Source organism: Homo sapiens, chromosome 4 (assembly GCF_000001405.40).
Source record: "Homo sapiens chromosome 4, GRCh38.p14 Primary Assembly".
Taxonomy (NCBI): Eukaryota; Metazoa; Chordata; class Mammalia; order Primates; family Hominidae; genus Homo; species Homo sapiens.
In genome coordinates, this window is record NC_000004.12 from 3257525 (window position 1) to 3281058 (window position 23534).

The 23534-nt window shown below is 47.0% G+C and overlaps 1 annotated feature.

The window, feature by feature from the left end:
- Nucleotides 12688-13225: an enhancer, noted in NCBI's record as "H3K4me1 hESC enhancer chr4:3271939-3272476 (GRCh37/hg19 assembly coordinates)". NCBI's record gives its function as "activates a minimal SCP1, AML or CMV promoter by ChIP-STARR-seq in naive H9 embryonic stem cells {active_cell/tissue: H9 hESC(naive)}" and the evidence as "EXISTENCE:reporter gene assay evidence [ECO:0000049][PMID:30033119]".

Genomic DNA, 23534 nt, shown 5'->3' on the forward strand with positions numbered 1-23534 from the left:
GAGGCCGGCGTGTTCTGTGGAGCCCAAAGGGGAGCTGGGCAAGCAGGATTCACTTCACTCTGAGGGTCCTGGAGCTCCCACCCTCCTCAGCCATCTCCCCAGAGCCTGTGTGCCGAGGACTCGGCCCATGTTGCTGTGGGATGAGAGGCAGAGTGTCGTGAGGGTGTAAGGAGCGGCGGCAGTGGTGGGAGGAGGGAGCAGCAGCCAGCGCTACGGTGCCAGTTTCCAGCTGCCAGATGACGCCGCTGACCCTGTGGTTGAGAAGAGATGCACAGAGCCAGCTCTTGCAAGCCAGTGTGGCTGCCATAGCACCTGCCGAGAAGCAGAAGGAAGGGTGGCCCCAGGAGGACAGAGGATGCGGGCACATCTGATGCGGGCCTGAGTTTTGGGAGCTTTTGCTCTAGCCAGTTTCCAGCTCCGGGACCCACCCGCCTCGTAGGCAAGACACCACCCAAGAAATCATTTGCTTAACAAACACACTGGGCTCCAACTGGACACCTGTGCCACCCTAGATGCTGGGAACCCAGCCATGACACAGGCACCTGCCCCCAGCTGCTGACCACTGAGGCTGGCTAGCAGCTCCCATGGGGCCAGTGTGGGGTTCCCCAGCCTCCTAACAGGGAGCCAGTCACAAGCCCTCGAGAGGGAAGGGTGCCCGCGGCCCTGGCAGGAAGGTTAGGCTGGACGCTCCCACAAGACATAACAGATGGAGGTTCTAAATGATGTAGCAACTTCTTCACCCTGAAACTGCTGTAGAGTCAGCCATGACGCACCGGTACTTCAGTAACTGCCAGGCATCCGGGACAGCACACCGCGAGTCGCTGCTGTGCTTGGGTTAGAAGTGGTTTGGTCTGTTTTCTTCTCGCCCTCTCTAATCAGAGTCAGTGATTCATGCCCTTCCATCACCTTAGAGAAGGGGCAGGCGCTGCCCGACCTTCTCCAGGCTGGAGCAGCATCGCCTCATGTCAGCAGAACTCAGCTGTAGAATATCGTGGGGTTGGTGCCTTTCATCAGCAGCATGTCCTTAACAACTTTCTGATTTCTTCCTTAGTTGTTGGTCCATTAAGGAGAAAAAAAATGATCTCAGCCATTGCTAAAATATTTGATAAGATTCAGCAAAGCAGCATGTTAACATTGAAAACTAGAATCAGGAGCCAGGCAGATGTGCTTGCTTTTCACCTGTAGTATTTCATGTTGTTTTGACGTTTTTAGCTAATGCATTAAGATAAATAAACAAAAGCCGGGCACGGTGGTTCACGCCTGTAATCCCAGCACTTTGGGAGGCTGAGGCGGGAGGATCCTCTGAGGTCAGGAGTTCAAGACCAGCCTGACCAACATGGAGAAACCTCGTCATTACTAAAAATACAAAATTAGCTGGGCGTGGTGGTGCATGCCTGTAATCCCAGCTACTTGGGAGGCTGAGGCAGGAGAATCGCTTGAACCCGGGAGGCGGAGGTTGCAGTGAGCTGAGATTGCACCACTGCACTCCAGCCTGGGTGACAGTGAAACTCGGTCTCAAAAAAAAAAAAAAATTAAAAAAAGATAAATAAAATAAGCAGGATAAGAAATGAAGAAAGTAGAGTTACCTTTGTTTTCAGATTTCATTTTTGTATACCCAGAAAGCCAAATGTACAAAAGACTGGGAGCTCTTTAAACCAGCTTAAACTTGTTGAAAATGAGGATGAAGAAATATCCCATTCAGAGTTGGAATGAATTTAACCCAGAAGGAACAGGACCTCTACTGAAGAGAACTATGCAGTCTTACTGAAAAATCTAAATAATACCTGAGCGCTGGAGAAACTTCGCACACTCCTGAAAGCTCCAAAGTCAATGTCATCATTTTATTAATGTCATTCCAAACATAGTCTCAATAATATCACTTCTTGGTTTTGACATGGACGCGATGATGTTTAAATTCATATGAAAAAAGAACGGGGCCAAAAGTCCAAGGCCAGTCAGCGTGAGAAGACCGCTCGGCCTCCCTCGGAGTCGGGGAGTTGGAACCGCAGACTGAGATCATGTGGCTGCTGGAGGCCAGGACGAACGTCGGGAAATGGAGACTCCTGCGTTGCTGGTGGGATGTGGTGCAGCCGCTTCCAGGAGCAATTTGGTGTCCCGTCCTAAAGCTGAAGAAACGCATTTCCTCTGGTCAGTGCCACTCCTAGACAGGCCACCCTGCGGCAGCCGTCCTCAAACTGGTCTGAGGACCCCTCAACGCTCTTAAAAATCATTAAAAGTGGGCCAGGTGCGGTGGCTCACACCTGTAATCCCAGCACTTTGGGAGGCCAAGACAGGCGGATCACGAGGTCAGGACATTGAGATCATCCTGGCTAACACGGTGAAACCCCGTCTCTACTAAAAATACAAAAAATTAGCCGGGCGTGGTGGCGGGCGCCTGTAGTCCCAGCTACTTGGGAGGCTGAGCCAGGAGAATGGCGTGAACCCAGGAGGTGGAGCTTGCAGTGAGCTGAGATCACTCCACTGCACTCCAGCCTGGGCAGCAGAGCGAGACTCTGTCTCAAAAAAAAATAATAAATAAATAAATAAAAATAAAATAAAATAAAATTCATTAAAAGTGCCAAAGAACTTTTGCTTATGTGAGTTCTAATGACCAATATTAATACACATTAGAATATCTTATTAGAAATTAAACCTGAGACCTTTAGAAAACATGTATTCATTTCAAAATAGCAATAAACCCATGACATATTAACATAAATAACAATTGTATGAAAAATATATTTTCCAAAACAAAAAGTTTTCGGGAGAAGTGTGGCATAGTTTTACATGGTCGTAAATCTCTGGCTTAAGAGAAGCCCACTGGCCTCTCAGCAGGCTCTGGGTCCGTCCACTTTGGGGGTGTTTTGGTTGTGAAGTATAGGAGTGAATGGAGAAGCTCATTCTTACCCAGATGTGTATTTGAAAAGAAAAGGAACATTTTAATAACCTTTGCAAATAATCGGTATATTCTTCCGTGATCCTATTCCAACACTGGACAGGTGGTGGTTTGTTTTTTTTTTTTGGAGACGGAGTCCCGCTCTGTCACTCAGGCTGGAGTGCAGTGGCGCGATTTCAGCTCACTGCAAGCTCCGCCTCCTGGGTTCACTGCAAGCTCTGCCTCCCGGGTTCACGCCATTCTCCTGCCTCAGCCTCCTGAGTAGCTGGGACTACAGGCGCCCGCCACCACACCTGGCTAATTTTTTGTATTTTTAGTAGAGATGGGGTTTCACTGTGTTAGCCAGGATGGTCTCAATCTCCTGACATCGTGATCCACCCGCCTCGGCCTCCCAAAGTGCTGGAATTACAGGTGTTAGCCCGGCCGACAGGTGGTGGTTTTTTACTGGCCGGTTGTGTGTGGAATCTGATACCCTATCAATGAACTTCTACTTCATTTCAGGAGAATCCATTGGTCCGTCTTGTGCTTCAAGGACTCTGTCCATCATGCCTTTGTGACCTCACACGCTGGGCCTTTGGTTCACTAAGTTATGCGGATATTCCAAATGCTGACACAGTTCCTTAATCAGTATTTTAAAATCACTTTTGGCGATATCACCAATCTTAGAAAAGTCTTTCAGTTGGAAAGGTGGTGAACTCATGGTGGTGTCTTTCAGAATTCTGATTTTTGCATGAAAGCTTGAATTTTATCATTGGTAACAAATGCTGTCAGCTATTTTCTTTGAATGAGACAGGCTCACTTTGTTCGTTTTCCAAAAAAAAAAAGTCTGCCAGGACACCCAAGGCTGAACAACCAGAGTTTTTGCACATCCTTTTTTTGAGTAAAAAGTGTGCTCCATACGTGTGTTCCAGATCCAGACGGCAGCTCAGCCCATTGCACACCTGCATTTCCTCAGCGTGGACGTGGGGCAGGCGCGCCTTCCAGTTGCTCGGGCAGGACGTTGAAAAGATGTGGACCCAGGGGTCAAGACCTCACACACTCGACCATTTTCACTCCATCACGGACATTTGGAAGTGACCGGCGTTTCACACTGCAGCTGTGCGGTGCGAAAACCCCTCAGGGCTGCGCCGGGGCTCGGGGCCTGCCTGCGTTCCTGCTCAGGTCTTGCCACATCAGTGCGCATGTCAGCTCCGTGAAGACCCCGTGAAGACCCCGTGATCATCAGACTATGATGAAAGCAGCTGCAACCTCAGGGACCCTTGGTGACCCACAGGCCGAGACCTGAGAACCACTGCCTGAATGCTGGAGCGGGCACACAGGTGACCTGAGCGAGCCTCGTCTGTCCTTGCCCGGTACCCAGAGCTGGCTCACTGGCGATTGGTGGACGCACGGGCGCTGTCACACAAAGGGGCCCTCCGTGTGACTGGGTGGCGTCATCACAGACAGCGTGTGGGAACCGTGCCCCCAAGCGGGCCCAGAGGGACTCCCTGCTGTCTTGTAGGCACTGGGGATAGGGTCAGGTGGAAAGCAGATACAAATCTTTGTCTTTACAGGGTTTCGAGTTGAGGGTGGGGCTAGACCAACAATAAACACGTAAGTGTCTAGTATGTTAGAAGAGAGGTGCTTTCCAGGGAAATAAGGCTGTAGGGGGATTGGAGCCGTGGGGTGAGAGAAAAGGCCTTCAAAAAATGTCATGTGAGCGGATGGAGTGGGAGGGGCGCCCTCACCTGAGCACTGGGAGCTGCACTGTCTAGGTGGGAGCTGGCTCTGAGGGCGAGGTGGGCCTGGACAGGGACACCCTGCTTTCTGCTGGGACAAGAGAGTCCCGGAGCAGGGAGGGTCAGGTGTGGCGTGGAGCCTGGGAGGTGGGTGAGGGGTGCTCAGGAGGCATCCTGGCCTAGGGGAGGATAGAATGGTTGGACTGGCACAGGCCTTGGCTGTTGCCCGGGCATGGGGAAAAACCAGAACCTCTGTGTGCTGGCTTTGCGCTCGTGGCCATCTCCAGGACTCAGAACATGCGAGAGGCACGCAAGGTGGAGCGTGTGGGAGAAGGTGCTGCCTGTGGTTTCAGCCCAAGTTCATCTCAGCTGGGTCCGGAGGGAGAGGGCACCCTACCCCTAGAACACGAGCATCTTACAGTAGAAAAAGCCAGTTGGAAGCCCCTGGGGACCGCCTTACCTTCTAAAATAGAAGCCAAGAACTGACACATCTGTGAGGGACATGACCAGCCAAGCCGTGAACACTGCGCACATGTGAATTCCTGGTACATCCGTGGCTTGTGCAGGGACCACCACAGGCTCCCCTCAGCTCAGGGAAGTGGGACCCCTGCACAGCCCCTGCCCTGCATGCAGCAGTCCACCTGGTGCCTTTCGCTGCCCTCTGTTTATCTCCGCCTTGCTGGGCACTAGCTCAGCTTCACTGCTTTCCGTCAAGGCTAATCTGCTCTCCTGCTCTGCACCACCATGTCCAGACCTTGAGCGCCTCGTCCCCCACAAATGTCATATTTACCCCCTAGAGGACCTAGAGGACAGGAGGGAGTGGGTATGCTGGGTAGCGTGGTAAAACCCACACGTGTCTCAGGTCTGCCCTCCCCGTTGGGGCCAAGTGCCCGACCTTGCACTCCCTAAGAAAGGCTGTGACGTTTGGGGAACGCCTTTGGGGCTGGAGCCACACTTGGGCCTCATTTGGATGTTTTCCCTGATCCTTTTTCCAGGTAGCCCACAGGCTACAGCTGAGGGTGTGCCCAGGGCGAGAGAAGACTCTGCGGGGCTCTGGGCTGCCCTTGCGGCGTGAGCCGTGCACTCCTGCTGCCGGGCGTGCTGGGCAGAGGGGATGTCTGGGGTCTTGGACAGCTCTTCCTAGGAGGTCACGGAGGAAGCCCTGCAGCTTTGGAACTAAGCTACACCAGCACTGGGAAGTTCTCCTTTGGAAACGGTTTTTAGGGTGTGCACCTCTCAGCCTGAGTCCGATCTCACAGAGACTGTGTGAGCTGCTGCTCGCCCTCGTGACCCCCTTCAGCTCATGCCAGCCTGCCTGATCTGCCGCTAAGAACCAGCGCTGGCACAGTGTGCGTCTGTCCCCTGCCCAGGCTTTTCTCGCACAAGTACCTGCTGCTCTGAACCTTGCCATTTTCGGCAATATACCTGCGTTAAAAAGGTTTGCTTCTTGTTAATGCTGGCAGAATGCCCTCCTCCTCTTGAACGGGAGAATCGGATTCCAGTGTGTGGAGGCACAGTCATCTCGTGGGTCCCTTACTGATGGAGAGACTGTTCCAGGCTTTCTCTGCAATAAACCGTGGTGCAGCGGATGTCTCTCTGTGTACTTGTGTACACTAGTGAGTTTTGAAGGATGAGACAAAACACTTATAACTCTAGGGGAAACGAAAAGTTGTACAGGAAAGGGAAAGTCAGGCTACAAATGGCTTACACGTGAGGTCGGGTTGAGATTTACTTTTTTCCACACAGATATCCCGTTGTTACAGCACCGTTTGTAGAAGAGGGTGTCCTGTCGCTATGGAGTGGCTTTGGACTCTTTCTTGAAGATGGATGGCCTGTGGATGTGTCGGGCCCGCTCTGGAGTCTGCATCCTGTCCATTGATAATGATGTCAGTCCTCACGTCAGTACACACTTTCCTGATTACTGTAAGTCTTGAAACCTGGTCTAATAAATCTTTCAACTGTATTGTTCTTTTTAGAAAGTGGATATTTTTAAAGTCTTTAGCATGTCCTCATATTCTTTTTGTTGTGGTGAAATACACTCAATATACAATTTGCAATTTTAATTATTTTATTTATTTATTTATTTTGAGACGGAGTTTTGCTCTTGTCCCCCAGGCTGGAGTGCAGTGGCTCGATCTCAGCTCACTGCAACCTCCGCCCCCCGGGTTCAAGCGATTCTCCTGCCTCAGCCTCCCGAGTAGCTGGGATTACTGGCACGCAGCACCACGCCTGGCAAATTTCTGTATTTTTAGTAGAGACGGGGTTTCACCATGCTGGCCAGGATGGTCTCGAACTCCTGACCTCAAGTGATCCGCCCGCCTTGGCCTCCCAAAGTGCTGGGGTTATAGGCGTGAGCCACCGCGCCCGGCCCATTTTAACGATTTAGAAGAGAACAGTTCAGTGGCATCGAATACATTCACATCGTTATGCAGCCATCACCACCATCCCTCCACAGAATTCTTCTCATCTTGTCAAATGGAAACTCTGTCCCCCTTAAACACAAAGTCCCATTATCTCCCCAACTCCCCAGCCCCGGGCACCCACCACTCTTTCTGTCTGTGCATTTGACTACTCTAGGGACCTCATATAAGTGGAATCACACAATATTTGTCCTTTTGTGCTGCTTATTTCACTCGGCATAATGTCCCATCCATGCTGTAACATGTCAGAGGTTCCTTCCTTCTCAAGGCTGAGTAATATTCCACTGTCTTCCACCACGTTTTGTTTATCCATTCTTTTTTTCTTTTTTTTTTGAGACAAGGTCTCACTCTGTCACCCAGGCTGAATGAAGTGGTGCCATCATAGCTCACTGCAGCCTCGACCCCCCCAGGCTTAGGTGATCCTCCCACCTCAGCCTCCTCAGTAGCTGGGACTACAGGGGCTCGCTGCTACATTCGGTTAATTTTTATATTTTTTGTAGAGACGGGTTTTCGCCATGATGCCCAGGCTTGTCTGGAACTCTTGGGCTCAAGTGATCTGCCCACTTCAGCCTCCCGAAGTGCTGGGGTCACAGGTGTGAGCCACCGTCTCTGGCCTTGATTCATCTTTTGTTGGATACTCGAGTTGCTGTGCCTTTGAGCTAATGTAAGTAGTGCTGTCATGAACATGGGCTGTGTACGAATGTCTCTTAGAGACCCTACGTCCAGTGCTTGTGGGAATACTCAGAAGTGGAATTACTGGGTCGTATGGTAAATCTATATTTAACTTCTTGAGGAATCAGTAGCAAATATTTTTGTACTATTCCTACATACAGAATTTCTGGATCAAAGGAGGATGCATTTAGATTTTTAATAGATTTTGTCAGAATGCCTCCTCAAGATGCTATTTAAATAATTTCAGATCCTAAAAAAGAGAAAAATGTCCCCATTCATGTTATGAACCAATCAAAGCCTTAATACCAAAACCCGATTTTTTAGAAGTACAAAACAGGCCAGATACGGTGGCTCACACCTGAAATCCGAGCACTTTGGGAGACCGAGGTAGGTGAATCGCTTGAGCCCAGGAGTTCGGGACCAGCCTGGGCAACATAGCAAGACCTGTCTCTACAAAAAATACAAAAATTAGCCAGGCGTGGTGGCACATGCCTGTAGTCCTGGCTACTCTGGAGGCTGAGGTGGGAGGATCACCTGAGTCTGGGATGTCAGGGCTGCAGTGAGCTGAGATTGTGTCGTGCACTCCAGCCTAGGTGACAGAGCAAGACATTTTCTCAAACAAAACAAAACAAAACAAAAACAGAAAAGGAGATTTGCCATGTTCTTGTGTGGGTGGATAAGAAGAAAATGCCAAGCTCCCGAGGCAGGATGTAAATGTAATTCCAAGTAGAGCCTGGCACATCTGAACAGTGGAAGCTCAGTGATGAGAATGCATAGACATAGAGGGGAGCAACGCACACCGTGGCTGTCGGAGGCGAGGCTGGGAGGGGAGAGGATCAGAAAAACAAGTAGTGGGTCCTTGGCTTGACTTAAAAGGCTGAACCTGAAAAGGAAAGTGGGATAAAATGATTTTAAGCTTCTTGTGGAAGAAAATAAAGGAAAAGAGGAGCAGCGGCCCCAGGCCGGTTCACTAGGGAGAGAAACCTATGTCAGTTCCCAGCACTCAAAGCCACGTGGCGCTGCCACAGAACAAACAGTGTGGGGCACGCGCGGCCACACGGGGACAGCCCAGCTCGCCACGAGGGTCACCCTCATGTCTAGCGGTGCATAGGTGTGCTGGTGCAAAAAATAAGGACCTGTACAACCTCGCACGTGGCTTTCCATATGGGCTCTTTATTCAAAGTTGGTGTCAGGTGGATTAAAGGCTCATGTAAAAAACGGAGATATTGGCCGGGCGCGGTGGCTCACGCCTGTAATCCCAGCACTTTGGGAGGCGGAGGCGGGTGGATCACGAGGTCAGGAGATCGAGACCATCCTGGCTAACATGGTGAAACCCCGTCTCTACTAAAAATACAAAAAAATTAGCCGGGCGTGGTGGCGGGCGCCTGTAGTCCCAGCTACACGGGAGGCTGAGGCGGGAGAATGGCGTGAACCTGGGAGGCGGAGCTTGCAGTGAGCCGAGATCGCGCCACTGCACTCCAGCCTGGGCGACAAAGCGAGACTCTGTCTCAAAAAAAAAAAAAAAAAAAAAAAAAGTGGAGATATTGGCCGGGCATGATGGCTCAAGCCTGTAATCCCAGCACTTTGGGAGGCCCAGGCAGGTGGATCACCTGAGGTCAGGAGTTCGAGACTAGCCTGACCAACATGGAGAAACCACGTCTCTACTAAAAATACAAAATTAGCCAGGCATGGTGGTACACGCCTGTAATCCCGGCTACTCGGGAGGCTGAGGCAGGAGAATCTCTTGAGCCCAGGAGGTGGAGGTTGCAGGGAGCCAAAGTGGCGCCATTGCACTGGGCAAAAAAGAGTGAAACTCCATCTCAAAAAACAAAACAAACAAACACCAAAGAAATGGAGCTCTTCTAGAGGAAACGTGGAAAGATGCACGCCTCTGCTCTGAGGCCTTTCTGAGTGCATACGGTGAAAATACAGTGTCTAACTTGATTAATATTCCATAAGTTTCTGTATAGCAAAAGGGCTTTAAAAAGGTGAAAGAGGCCGGACCATGGCTCATGCCTGCAATCCTAGCACTTTGGGAGGCTGAGGTGGACAGATCACCTGAGGTCAGGAGTTCGAGACCAGCCTGGCCAACATGGTGAAGCCCCATCTCTACTAAAAATACAAAAATTAGCTGGGTGTGGTGGTGCATGCCTGTAATCCCAGCTACTCCTCGGGAGACTGAGACAGGAGAATCACTTGAACCTGGGAGGCAGAGGTCGCAGTGAGCCGAGATCCCGCCACTGCACTCCAGCCTGGGTGACAAGAGTGAGACTCCATCTCAGAAAAAAAAAAAGGGTGAGATAGCTACCATGGGCGGTAACAACACTTGAGCAGCATGCAGGCTGGACAGTGGTTATTGTGGGCCAGCGTTTGAATGGGGCTGGAAGTGTGCAGCCCCAGCGTCCTGGGAGGAGGGGCCTCCATCCCCACCCCGAGAGCCAGGCAGGGCCTCACCTTCCAGGGCACCCCTTTCTCACCACCCCTTGCCCAGCCCCTCCTTCCAGGGGCCTCTGCTCTTCCTTCTCGAAGCAGGTGCTGTGCCTGAGTGTCCAAGGCCAATTTCTGACGCTACATTCTGGAGTGTTCTACTGACACCATCTGCCAGGACCCACACTTCCAAGAATCCCCACCTGTGTGCTTCTAGAGCAGACAGATGGGGTCAGAGGTGAGGCAGCGGGGATTTGGGAGGCAGGAGGTCAGGGCCATGGTTGGCAGAGGCCACTGATGGTCAGGAGAAGCAAGACAGGGATGCAGGCATCCCGCAGGTGCCGGTTTGTCGGCTCCTCCTGCTGTGTGCAGCCTCCTTCCTGCCGGGCCCTGCTGACCAGCCCTGACCTCAGGCCGCCCTGAGGTGCACAGAGGTCGGCAGCCGGGGCAGCCAGCTGCAGGGATCCAGCAATCTTATCTAGGAGCCTGCAGGGTCCCATGAGACAAGTGAGATACCTGAAGAAGTTCCTGCCAAATCTGGCAAACTGCCTTAAAGGGGCAGGCAGGTAGGCTTTTCCTTTCCATATTGCTTCTTGCGCAAACAGACGAGGTGGAGGAGGTGTCTGGCTCTCCATCGGCCTTCTAGGGCCCTGAGGCAGTCCTGAGGGTGAGGGCCACGCCCACCAGAGCGGAGGGGCCTGAGGGCACTGTGGGCTGTCACCTGGGCCTGGCTGCTTCTGTGGGAGACAGAAATAAAATTCCCAACCATGCCAGCGTTATTTCCACGTTTGAAGCCAAATGCAATTTTTGAGAGGGAATTTAGTGCCCAAAAGGGGAGGGAGTGTTGAAAATGACAGGTTCAACTCCTACAGCATGGCATTGGCTCGTGAGGCTGCTGAATGGGGCGTGGGGAGGAGGTAAGGTTCCACCTGCTGCAGGCTGGAAGGCTGATGTGGTGGGAAACGTGGGGTCACACTGTCACCTGGGCCTCCTGGGCCAGCAGACCACCCACAGGCCGGGAGGGCAGCCTGAGGAGAAAGGCAGGAAAAACCTTCAGAATGTGGTGCCACTGTCAGCAAAGTTCCCCAAGAAGGAGATGGCCTTGGGGCACAGCCAGCGGGCGGGGTGGCAGGAGCTGCAGCTGGGCTAGGGAGCGCTCTCTGCCCGTGGGGTGCTATGAAAGCCGGTGTGATTTTGAGCTCTGCAGGGCTGTCCCCAGGCTGCCGACATTGCAGGAGGGGTCCAGTCCTAGGCACACACCATTGTCACTTCACCAGGCTCCACGGGGCCCCAGATCTGGGGACTGTCCAGTCACCGGACTCTGCGGACACAGAGTCAAATCTGACCCCATCCTGCCTTCAAGCCAGCGTAGATCAGGTCTGGGTACACTGGGCCTGTGGGGGAGGGGCTGTGGGTTGGCCCTCAAGGAGGGGAAGATGGGGGCGGCAGGCAGGGGTGGCGTTGTGGAGGTCCATGAGGAGGGCAGGGCAGCCTGGGAGCCTGGCATTGGTTGTAGATCCTGGCAGCACGGGTGAGTAAGGGAAGGGCCCTGAGGAGGGGAGGGCAGGGCTCAGGTCTTGCTCAGCCCTAGACTGGCTCTGACCCCACACCCAGGGTTGCAACGTGGTGGGGTGAGGTCAGGACCCCACAGCAGCAGGGCCACCCAGGAGGACACAGGGTCCCAGGCTGTGGCCCATGTACCCCATGCCCCAGGCCTGCACAGGGTCTCCAAGTCAGGAGGAAGGAGGCCAGGAGTGGAGCCAGGCACTGGGCTGTGCTGGCTCGGCCCTGCCACGCAGGGTTGTTAGGGGCTGGCTCTGTCCTACTGCTCGGGGTCCAGGTTCTGGGGCTCTGTCCTCTGCGAGCACCTCTCAGCCTCGCACCCCTGGGGAGCGGCTTTGAAACAAGCACAGCTCCCAGGTGCGCCTGGGAACCCTGTTCTCACCTGCGAAAGGGGAGCGGGGAGGGGAAGCACAGGGGCAGCGGGTTCCTCCTGCTCCTCCTCCTGCAGGCACCGCCCCTCCACCCCACAGAGGGCTTCTGCCAGCTTCTAGAACCTTCCCCACAGTGCTGCACTGACCACGTGTTCCTTAGTTCCCCGCAGGGTTAGACTCCTGACTTATTCCCTTGTTTAATCCTCAGCTCAGGGCGGGTGGGGTCTGGAGTCCGGCCTCCCCCAACAGCCCACCTGCTCCCCGCCCGGCCGCCTGGCGCAGAGGCCCTAGTTTGGAGAGCCCATTCACGCTCGGAATTTGGATTCAACCACGGGGCTGACCCCCCACCTCCCTCATTTTCCAAAACGCCTTTGTCTTTTCCTGTTCAAAGAACTTTCAAGAGACTTTCCAAGTTTTGTTCGGGAACAGTGTGGCTCCCCAGGGTGCCAGCTGGCATCTTGTGCAATTATCATTAAATTACAGGGACAATTTTAATTTCATGATAATTAGAAATATCAACTGCCGCTCAGCCTTCGAAACTAATGGAATTTTAATGGGCAGCTGCTTAGGTTACAGCTAAGAATAGCAGCGCTCCACCGAGCGGCTGCAGCAGGGCCCTGAGTGGGCGCCAGCCTCCATGTGGGAGCCGTGCCCAGGGAGCCGGGGCACCTGGTGTGGGCTGCGGGAGGCAGGCCCTGGGTGAACCTTCAGCAGCTGCCTGTAAGGGAGAAAATGGGACCGTCCTGGTCAGGTGGAGGAGACCTGTGTCCTGGACTTTGGACCCCGAGGCCAGCCCATTACCCCTGCAATGCAGCCCCAGGTCCACCTGCCCCACAGCCACAGCCTCAGGGCTTGGAGCTGAGCCTGCGACCTCAGACTGTGCCCTCTGGGGAGCCCACCCACTCTGGGCCTCGGCAGCCTGGGCTGACCAAGACCTTCCACTCTGAGCAAATCTGCAAGCCGGGGGAGCCCCAGGCCCTCAGACGGAAGGCGCCCTCACTCCTTCCTCTTGTCCTTAGAATTACAGTCCAAGGCCCGGAAACAGTCATTCCCCATGTTCTGTCCAGTTTTCCAGTCATTTGAAGCAGGGATGGAGGAGAGGTGAATCCAGAGCTTGTCACTCCATCCTGGTGGAAAGTGGAATTAATGGTGTCTTTCAATTGGGCAGATTTTGCTTTTGATAATATCAAATTTTAGCTAATTTTTTTTATGGCTAAAACATTTTGTGTCCTAAGAAATCTTCACCAAGGCCAGGGAGATATTTTCCCATATTGTATTCTAGAAGCTGTGGTTACATCTGGGTCTCTGTCCATCTCAATTGCTTTGTAGGAAATGAAATGGATATCAGAGCCATTTTTTCCACGTGATTCCCCTGTTATTCCAGAACTGTTTGTTAGAAAGCCTGCCCTTTCCCTATCGCGAGTGTCTGGTGCCTTTGTCAAAAAGCAATTCACAGAACAGGAGGGGGTCTATTATTATTATTATTTTTTTTTTTTTTGAGATGGAGTTTCATTCTTGTCACCCAGGCTGGAGTGCAGTGGCACGATCTCAGCTCGCTGCAACCTCCGTCTCCCAGATTCAAGCAATTCTCCTGCCTCAGCCTCCCAAGTACCTGTGATTACAGGCATCCACCATCATGCCTGGCTAATTTTTTTTTTTTTGCATTTTTAGTAGAGGCGGGGTTTGGCTGCGTTGGCCAGGCTGGTCTTGAACTCCTGACCTCAGGTGAACCTCCCGCCTCGCCTCCCAAAGTGCTGGGATTACAGGCGTGAGGCACCACGCCCGGCCGAGCGGGTCTATTTTGAGACACCATTCGGTCCTGTTGGTCTGTGCGTCTGCATTATCTTGGTTACTGTGCCTTTATAGAAAATCTTCAGGTCACCTAGTGTAAGTCTTCCAAACTTCTTCTTTTCCAAAACTGTTTTTGCTAATCCATATATTTTGCCATTCTGTATAAATTTTAAATCACCTTATTGATTTCTATCCCCAAAAAAGCCTGCTGAAATTTGTATTGAGATGGAATTGAATTCATAGTCCCACTTGATAAGAACTGACATGTTGAAAATATTGTCTTACAATTTATGAACATGGTGTATCTCACCATTTGGAGCTGTCTAATACATCCTTTATTAAATTTATTTATCAGTATATTGATTTTCTAACTTTTTGCTAGTATCTAGAAATACAGTTGATTTTTGTATCTGTAGCCTGCAACCCTGCTCAACTCACTTATTCATCCTAACAGCTTTTTCTTTTGTAATTCTTTAGGACTTTCCATGTTTACAATAACATCTTCTTGATGACAAGCTTCTTATCTGTGTGTGAATAAGGACAAGTTTCTTATCTCTATGTCTTTTATTTCTCTTTCTTGCCTTATTTTCTGGCTATGAGCTCCAGTACAATGTTGAAAAGAAGTTCGGAGAGCAGCACCATTGCCTTAGTCCTGATCTTAGAAAGAAAGTATTCAGTTGTTCGCCAATGAGTATGACATTAGCTGTAGGTCTTCTTTCTTTCTTTCCTTCCTTCCTTCCTTCCTTCCTTCCTTCCTTCCTTCCTTCCTTCCGTGAGATGGAGTCTTGCTCTGTCCCTCGGGCTGGAATGCAGTGACGCGATCTCAGCTCACTGCAAACCTCCACCTCCCAGGTGCAAGTGATTCTCGTGCCTCAGCCTCCCAAGTAGCTAGGATTACAGGTGCCCACCACCATGCCTGACTAATTTTTCTGTTTTTAGTAGAGATGGGATTTCATCATGTCGGCCAGGCTGTTCTCAAACTCCTGACCTCAAGTGATCCACCCGTCTTGACCTCCCAAAGTGTTGGAATTACAGGCGTGAGCCACTGCACCTGGTCAGCTGTAGGTTTTTCATAGGTGCCCTTTATCAAATGAGGAAGTTCCCTTCTAATTTTAGTTTATGTAGAGTTTCTATCATAAGTGGATGTTGAATATTAACAAATGCTATCTGTGCATTCATTAAGATGACCATAAGATTTTTCTCCTTTATTTTTATTAATGTGGTGACTTTGAAGAATTGCTTTTCGAATGTTAAACCCACCTTGCGTTCCTTGGATAAACTGCACTTGTTCATGATGTGCTATTCAATGTAGTAATATTCTGCTAAGGATTTTGTGTCTGTGTTCATGAGGGTCATTGGGCTGTAATTTCTTTTTCTCTTGATGTCCTTGTCAGGTTTTGATATCAGAGTTACATGGGTTTCATACAGTAAGTGCAAGAGTGTTCCATCTTTCTCTTTTTTCTGAAAAAAATTGTGTAAGGATGGTATTATTTCTTCCTTAAATATTTGATCTGTTCCAACACCACATGGTCCTGGGGTTTTATTTCTGAATCAATTTCCTTGTGGAAAACGTTAGCTTTTCCCCAAAATTTTTATTATGAAGAATTTCAGCCACTCAGAAAAATGAATAGAATTGTGTAATGAATAGTCATGCTCATTTCCTAGACTGACATTTTATTATATTTTCCTTATCACATATCTATCCATCTATTTATCATTCTGTCTTATTTTTTGATGCATCCCTTTAAAGTTCTTAATTATATTATTATTATTATTATTTTATTTTATTTTGAGATGGAGTCTCGCTCTGGCGCCCAGGCTGGAGTGCAGTGGCGCGATCTCGGCTCACTGCAGCCTCTGCCTCCTGGGTTCAAGCAATTCTCCTGCCTCAGCCTCCTAAGTAGCTGGGACTACAGGCGTGCGCTACCACGCCCAGCTAATTTTTTTGTATTTTTAGTAGAGACGGGGGTTTCACCCTGTTGGCCAGGATGGTCTTGAACTCCTGACCTTGTGATCGCCTACCTCGACCTCCCAAAGTGCTGGGATTACAGGCATGAGCCATGAAGTTCTTAACTATTAATTCAGTTTCTTTGATTGAAATAGAGCTGTTTAAACTTTCTATTTCCTCTTGTGTAATTTTTTTGCAGTTTTTAAAGGAACTTTAAAATTTTATATCAGTTGTCAAGTGTATTGTTATAAAGTTGCTTGTACTGTTCTCTTACTATCCTTTTATTATTATATCTGTAGGCTCAGTGTGATAGCCTAATGTTTGTAACTTGTATTTTCCCTCTATTTTTCATTAGTCTTACTAAGGGTAGATCAATTTTATTAGTCATTTTGAAAAACCAACTTTTGGTTCTTTTGTCTTTTTCTGCGGTTTGGCTGTTTTCTGTTTCAGTGATTTCCACTCTTATTTTTGTCATTCCCTTCCTTCTATTTACTTTAGGTTTAATTTGCTCTTTATTTTCTAGCTTCTTAATGTGGAAGCTCAGATCATTTATTTCAAACTAGTTTTTAAATATAAACATTTAAAAATTATAAGTATCTCTATAAGAACTTTAGTTATATACTACAAATTTTGATATATTTTGTTTTCTTTACTATTCAGTTAAAAATAATTTTCTAGTTTTCTTTGTGATATCTTGTTTGACCTGAGTTATTTAGAATTATGTTACTTTGTCATCAAAAGTGAATGGTTTTCTAGACATTGTTACTGATTTCTGTTGTTGTCAGAGAATGCATGCTGTATGACTTCAGTCCTTTAGCATTTAATGAGATTTATTTTATGGCCCAGTAAATGTTCTTTCTTGGTAAATGTACCATGTGCTCTTGAAAAGAGTATTTATTCTATAGTTGATGGGTATAGTCTTCTATATGTGTTAATTAGGTTAGATTGTTTTATGGTGTTTTAAAAATCTTTTATGTTCTTTTTTTTTTTTTTTTTTTGAGATGGAGTCTCACACTGTCGCCCACGCTGGAGTGCAGTGGCACGATCTCCGCTCACTGCAAGCTCTGCCTCCCAGGTTCATGCCATTCTCCTGCCTCAGCCTCCCAAGTAGCTGGGACTACAGGCACCCGCCACCACGCCTGGCTAATTTTTTTGTATTTTTAGTAGAGACGAGGTTTCACCATGTTAGCCGGGATGGTCTCGATCTGCTGATCTCGTAATCCGCCCGCCTCAGTCTCCCAAAGTGCTGGGATTACAGGCGTGAGCCACCGCACCCGGCCTTATGTTCTTACTGATTATTTTGTCTGGTTTTCCCAACAATTTATAATAGAATAATGTTAAATATTCAACTATATGGTATGGTCTTATTTCTGATTATTTTTCTTTTTTTAGTTCTTACAATTTTTGCCTCAAATGTTTGAAAATATAGCCACCCGGCTTTCTTATGGTATTTTTCCATGGTATTTCTTTTTTTTTTTTTGTTAATTCTTTTACTTTTAACCTAAACTTGTTTTTATATTTTAAGTGTGTCTCTGTTAAGCAGAATATAGAGAGTTTTGGTTTTTTAATTCAGTCTGACATGCTGTCTTTTAATTGTACTATGTAGCCCATTTGTATTTAAGGTAATTATTGATGTAGTTGGGTTTAAGTCTACCTGTAATCTTGCTAATTGTTTTCAATTGTTTACGTTTGTTGTTTACACTATTGTTTCTCCTTTCATGCCTTTTTTAAAATTTTTATTTATTTATTTATTCTTTTTGAGATGAAGTTTCACTCTTGTCACCCAGGCTGGAGTACGATGGCGTGTTCTCAGCTCACTGCAACCTCTGCCTCTCAGGTTCAAGCGATTCTCCTGCCTCAGCTTCCTGAGTAGCTGGGATTACAGGTGTCCACCACCACACCTGGCTAATTTTTTTGTATTTTTAGTAGAGATGGGGTTTCACCATGTTGGCCAGGCTGGTCTTGAATTCCTGACCTCAGGTGATCCACCTGCCTCGGCCTCCCAAAGTGCTGGGATTACAGGCATGAGCCACTGCACCTGGCCCCTGCCTTCTTTTTGATTGACTTTTTAACATTAAAAAAAAATTATCTCCTCCATTGGGTTTTAATTTACAACAATCTTTGTATTATCTTTTTGAAATTGCTCTAGGGATCCTAATGTATTTCCTTAATTTACCTCAATCTACTTTGAAATCATATTATACTATTTGATATATAATGTAAAAACCTTTCAACTTATAATTCCATTTCCCTCCCATCCTTTGTGCTATTGTTGCATGTAATTTACCTGTATTTATAAGCCTCATGGTACATTGTTAGTATTTTTGCTGTAGGTGTTCAATTGTTGTTTTAAAAAATTAAGAAAGGGAAAACAAGTCTTTTATATATACACACACATTTACCATTTCTTCTGTTCTTCATTTTTTGTGTGTGTGTAGATCCAGGTTTCCCTCTGTCATTACTTCCCTTCAGCCTAAAGAATTTCTTTCAGCATTGTAGTGTGCATCTACCAGCAATGGATTCCTGCAGCTTTTGTTTATCTGAAAACACCTTTATTTTGCTTTCATTTTTTAAGGATGTGTTCACTAGATATAGAAATTCTCAGTTGACAGTCCCTCCTCCCATGCTCCTAGTTCTTTAAAGATGTTCTTTTGTCTTCTGGGCTTCATTGTTTCTAATAAGAACCCTGCCATCATTTTTATTATTGTACTAATGTATGTAATCTATCTTTTTTTCCTCTGGCTGCTTCTAAGATTTTAGTTTTTGTTTTCAACAATTTGTGCCTGGGTGTATTTTCTCTGTACTTGTCCTGCTTGGGATTTATTGAGCTTTGGGGATCTATGAGTGATTTTTTTAAATTCAGTTTGAGAAAATTTTGGCCACAGTTTCTTTAGATTCTCCCCATTTTACCTGTACTCTTTCTCTGGAACTCCAGTTACACATATGTCACCCCACTTGATATTATCACACAGGTCACAGGTGCTCTTTTCATTTTATTCTTTCCATTTTGTGCTCTGTGATTTCGTTTAGATTATTTATGTTGAAATTTTTTTTTTTTTTGCAGTGCACAGAAGCCTCACCAATACATGTTTTATTTCAGATACCATGATAGTGTCATTTTTGGCTTGACTTTCTTTTTGATATTTTATTTAGAGTTTCTACTTATCTTCTAGTATACCCCATCGCTTTATGTTTATGCATCTTTATCGGTACATTTTTTATGTATTCATAATACTTCTTTACATTATGTGTCTGCTAATTTCCATTACTGGATCATCTCGGTCTGCATCTTTTGATTGTGCTTTCTTTTGATTATGGGTCAAACTTTCCTACTTCTTAACATGTCTTATAATTTTTTGTTTCATTCCAGACATTGGATGTAAATAAACAGTGGAAACTCATAGGTCATATTTTGTTCTGTTTTGATTTTGTTATGCATGTTTCCCACATAATGTAAACCCTTTCCTCAGTTTGAGTAAGGGGCTTATCATTCAGATTCCTCTAAAAGTCAAGTCATCCTTGGAGCTGGGCCACAAATTAATTACATTGAGTTTACCCATGTTTAGCCTAACCCTCTACTTCCCATTCCACTGCAGCCTTTTTAGATCTTGTCAGTATTTGAGCTAGGAAGGGTTGAGCTTTAGGTATATTTGGTTCAACTTAGATTTCACTCTGGCACAGCAATGGAATCGCAGCACTGTGACAATGCGGAGGACTAAGTGATTTCTGCCTGCTTCCCAGCCTCTCCTCCATCGCTACTTTCATGGCAAAAATGGAGGCTGGATGGGAGCCAGTAGGCTGGCTGGGCTGAGTGACGCATCGTGTAGGACTGGGCTGCTTTCTCTTCATCCCTGCGGTCTCCCGTTTTGTGGCAGCCTTGCTCCTTCGTCTGCTAACATGCAGACCAGCCTCCTGTTCGGGGATGGAAGCTGCTGTTCTATAGGAAGGGCTGGTCTCTCTTGGGAATTTAGGTCATCAAAATTTCCTTGCATCTACTGGACTAGTAATCTCATAGAAATGTATAATATTGTTTCTGGGTTCTTCTGGTTGTTGCCACGGGAGTGAAAATCTTTTCCATCATTCTATACCCTAGGTGGAAGAAGTCTTGTTTTCTTTCCCTCATTAGGCTTCACATCGAAAGTGCTCAGCTAAGGATAAAAGAAGAATTAATGAACTTGTCTCATTCTTCCTCTCAGGTGGTGCGAATGCCATAGAGTCTCGCATAATGAAATACTGTTTCCTAATAGCACCAGTGTCTACTTGTCTTGTTTTTCTTCATATTTCTATTTGTGATTGTTTCCAGAGCTTCTCACACATGAGCAGAGCAGTCACTACAGGATCGCGTGGCAGTGGAAGAGTATTTTGCAAGACTGGGGTTCTTACCTCTCCTTGCAGGCAGAAAGGGCCAGAACTCACACATCACAGAGTTCCTCACTTTCACACTGGCAGCCAGTGGGCCATTTTATTTAATGAGTCAATTAAATTTTCAAAAATCAAATAAAAACAATTTTAGATTTATTTAGTTTTTTTTTTTTTTTTTTTTTTTTTTTTTTTTTTTGAGACAGAGTCTTGTTCTGTTGCCCAGGCTGGAGAGCAGTGGTGCCATCTCAGCTCACTGCAACCTCTGCCTCTGGGTTCAAGCAATTCTCCTGCCTCAGCCTCCTGAGTAGCTGGGATTACAGGCATGCGCCAGCATGCCCGGCTAATTTTTGTATTTTTAGTAGAGATGGGGTTTCACCATGTTGGTCGGGCTGGTCTTGAACTCTTGACCTCAGATGATCTGCCCCCCTCAGCCTCCCAAAGTGCTGGGATTACAGGGGTGAGCCACCGCATCTGGCTGATTTAGTTAGTTTTTTTTATTTTTAAAAGATTGTCAAGGGGAGGCTGTGGAGGCTGTGATAATGGTGCTATCACAATGGGTAAGGGAAGAGGAAGCCTAGAAGCCACCTTTCGGCCATGTACAGCACAGAGTTTGAATTTGTTGTCAGGAGATGTGGTTTTGAGGATGCCAAGAGTGAGGATGTGCTTTGGAATACCCTGAGGATTATGTTTGATAGTTTCTGCATCTTCCCAAAGATGGGACATCTTGACTCAATGTGTATCATATTTGACCTTATAATCACCCTCAGAACCACAAAAGAATGTCAACTAAATGCTGTTAAAGCAATTAGATTGAATTTATACAGTATTCAAGATGTATTAGAAGAGTTAAAGGAAACAGCAGAATATTCTCAGATAAAAATAAATCATGGTCTTCAGAAGAAAATGAAATTAATTTTAGACATGCTCTGTTCTAGTCATTTGATATGTTAATTTTTATTGGTAACATTTGCAAAGGCTTACCCCCAAAAAAAGGAAAGAAAAGAAGGTTGACTATTTTATGTTTAAAATGTTTAGATATATTTTTTAATTGGAAAATGGCTTTTGTCTACTACAAAGACCTCATGTAAAATAAGCAATAAAAATAGCATTCTAGTAAAATCTAAAGAAATCAGAACAAAGAAATGAAAACATTTGCATGATGATTGATATGGTTTGGCTCTGTGTCCCCACTCAAATCTCATCTCAAATTGTAATCCCCATGTGTCCAGGGAGGGACCCATAATCACCACATGTTGAGGGAGGGAGATGATTGGATCATGGCAGTGGTTTCCCCCATGCTGTTCTCGTGATAGTGAGTGAGTTCTCATGAGATCTGGTGGTTTTATAAGGCAGTTTTCCCTGCTCTTGCTGACTCTCTTGCCTGCCACCATGTGAGATGTGCCTGCTTCCCCTTCCACCATGATTGTAAGTTTCCTGAGGCCTCCCCAGCCATGTGGAACTGTGAGTCAATTAAACTCTTTCCTTTATAAACTACCCAGTCTCAGGGAAGTTCTTTATAGCAGCATGAGAACGGACTGATACCATGATGAAAACAATTCACATGTAAATAATCTTTAATGATTCTATACAGATTATTTTCTGCCATTTTAGATTAAGGAATAATCTCAATTGAAGAGAGATGTGAATAAACTGAGTGATATTCTGGTACTTTAAAAATAATATCTCAGCACTGGCAAATTTGAAAGAAGGGCTTTAGAAATACTGTATGAATCTAGGTGTTGCTTTAAGAGATGGTGAAAATCTTGCTATACATCACAGTGATTTTTGTGATGAAATTTAAGAAGTTTGGGCCAGGCATGGTGGCTCACACCTGTAATCCCAGCTCTTTGGGAGGCCCAGGTGGGTGGATCACTTGAGGGTAGGAGTTCCAAGACCAGCCTGGCCAACATGGTGAAACTCTGTTTCTACTAAAAATACAAAAACTAGCCAGGTGTGGTGGCGGGCACCTGTAATCCTGGCTACTCGGGAGGTTGAGCCAGGAGAATCACTTGAGCCTGGGAAGTGGAGGTTGCAGTGAGTCAAGATTATGCCACTGCACTCCAGCCTGGGCAACAGAGCAAGACCCTGTCTCAAAAAAAAAAAGTAGGGAGTTTGCAATATTTTCTGCGATAACAATAATGTATTATAGGCAGTACCATAATAATGTTAGAATTGATACATAAAATTTGTGGCTCTTTTCCAACGATAAATATTTGCTTGAAAAATTTTATTGACAGTTATGTTTGCTTCTGCTTCATCAGGGAAAAGTTCTTCCAAATTGAAAATAGAACATAAATTATATGGAAATGTAGATTATAACAACATAATTAGAGATTTTGCTGAAATGAATGCAGGAAAAGTTATTTTGGGGAATAAAATATAATCATTTGTGAACAGTGTGTATCCTTCTGCTATTACTCAGGCAGGCACAGCTGACGGTCACTGTTCTGCAGACACAGGCAACAAACATTGTCAGTTTGGATATTTGCTTTTGTGTGGTTATCTGAGAAGCCATAGCTTTAGCTCTGTTTTTCAGTTTTGTTGTTTTAAATGAATTTGTGTCAAGGTGGGTGGATAGAAGACATTTTATTTCACATTTTATTAGCTTTATATTTATTCTATATTTGGGCATGTGTGGCCAGCATTGGAGCTCTTACTCTGGAACCATGAATATTGGGTGGTGCCATGGAAGGGCTGAGGCTGGAATGGATCCTGCCTGGGAACACCGAACCACATAGGATGCCTGGCTGTGTGTGAGCCACAGCTGGAGTCATTCATGTGATCTACCTGTAAAAGTGTAGGAAAGCTGGAGAGATCCACCCATCTCAGGACACTGACATTCATGCCCAAGGTAGCACTGACCAGCAGGGCTTCAGGAGGGTCCTGGAGGAGGCTTGTGGCTGGGAGCCTGGGAGAGAAGGAGAATGAGGGCCTGGGACCCCTTGGGATAGGGGTGAGACACTGACCTCGGTCTCCCAGGTAATGGCACGCAAGGATCAGGATCAGGAACTTGGAGGAATGGAGTAGGTGTGGTGAAACGTTGGCAGCTAGGTGGGTAGGGGGTGGATTCCAAATTGAAGGACAAATGGCAACATCACCAGGAGGCCTCACTTCCCCAGGGCAGACACTACCTGGCCTGGGGACCCAGTGTACTCCCTGCCCCTCAGGAAGAAACTGCATGGAAGTCTACCCTGTAACATTCGATCTACAGGGGCGGAGATGGAAGAGCCTACGAATTTTTTTTCCCCAAGGGCACGTCTTAATCTTTACATGGCTTGGGGTGGCAGAAGACTGCAGCCTTACAGGCTTGAGGAGTCAGAAGATAAGAGTCCAGGTCTAACAGGAACAACAGAGTGAACTGAACAG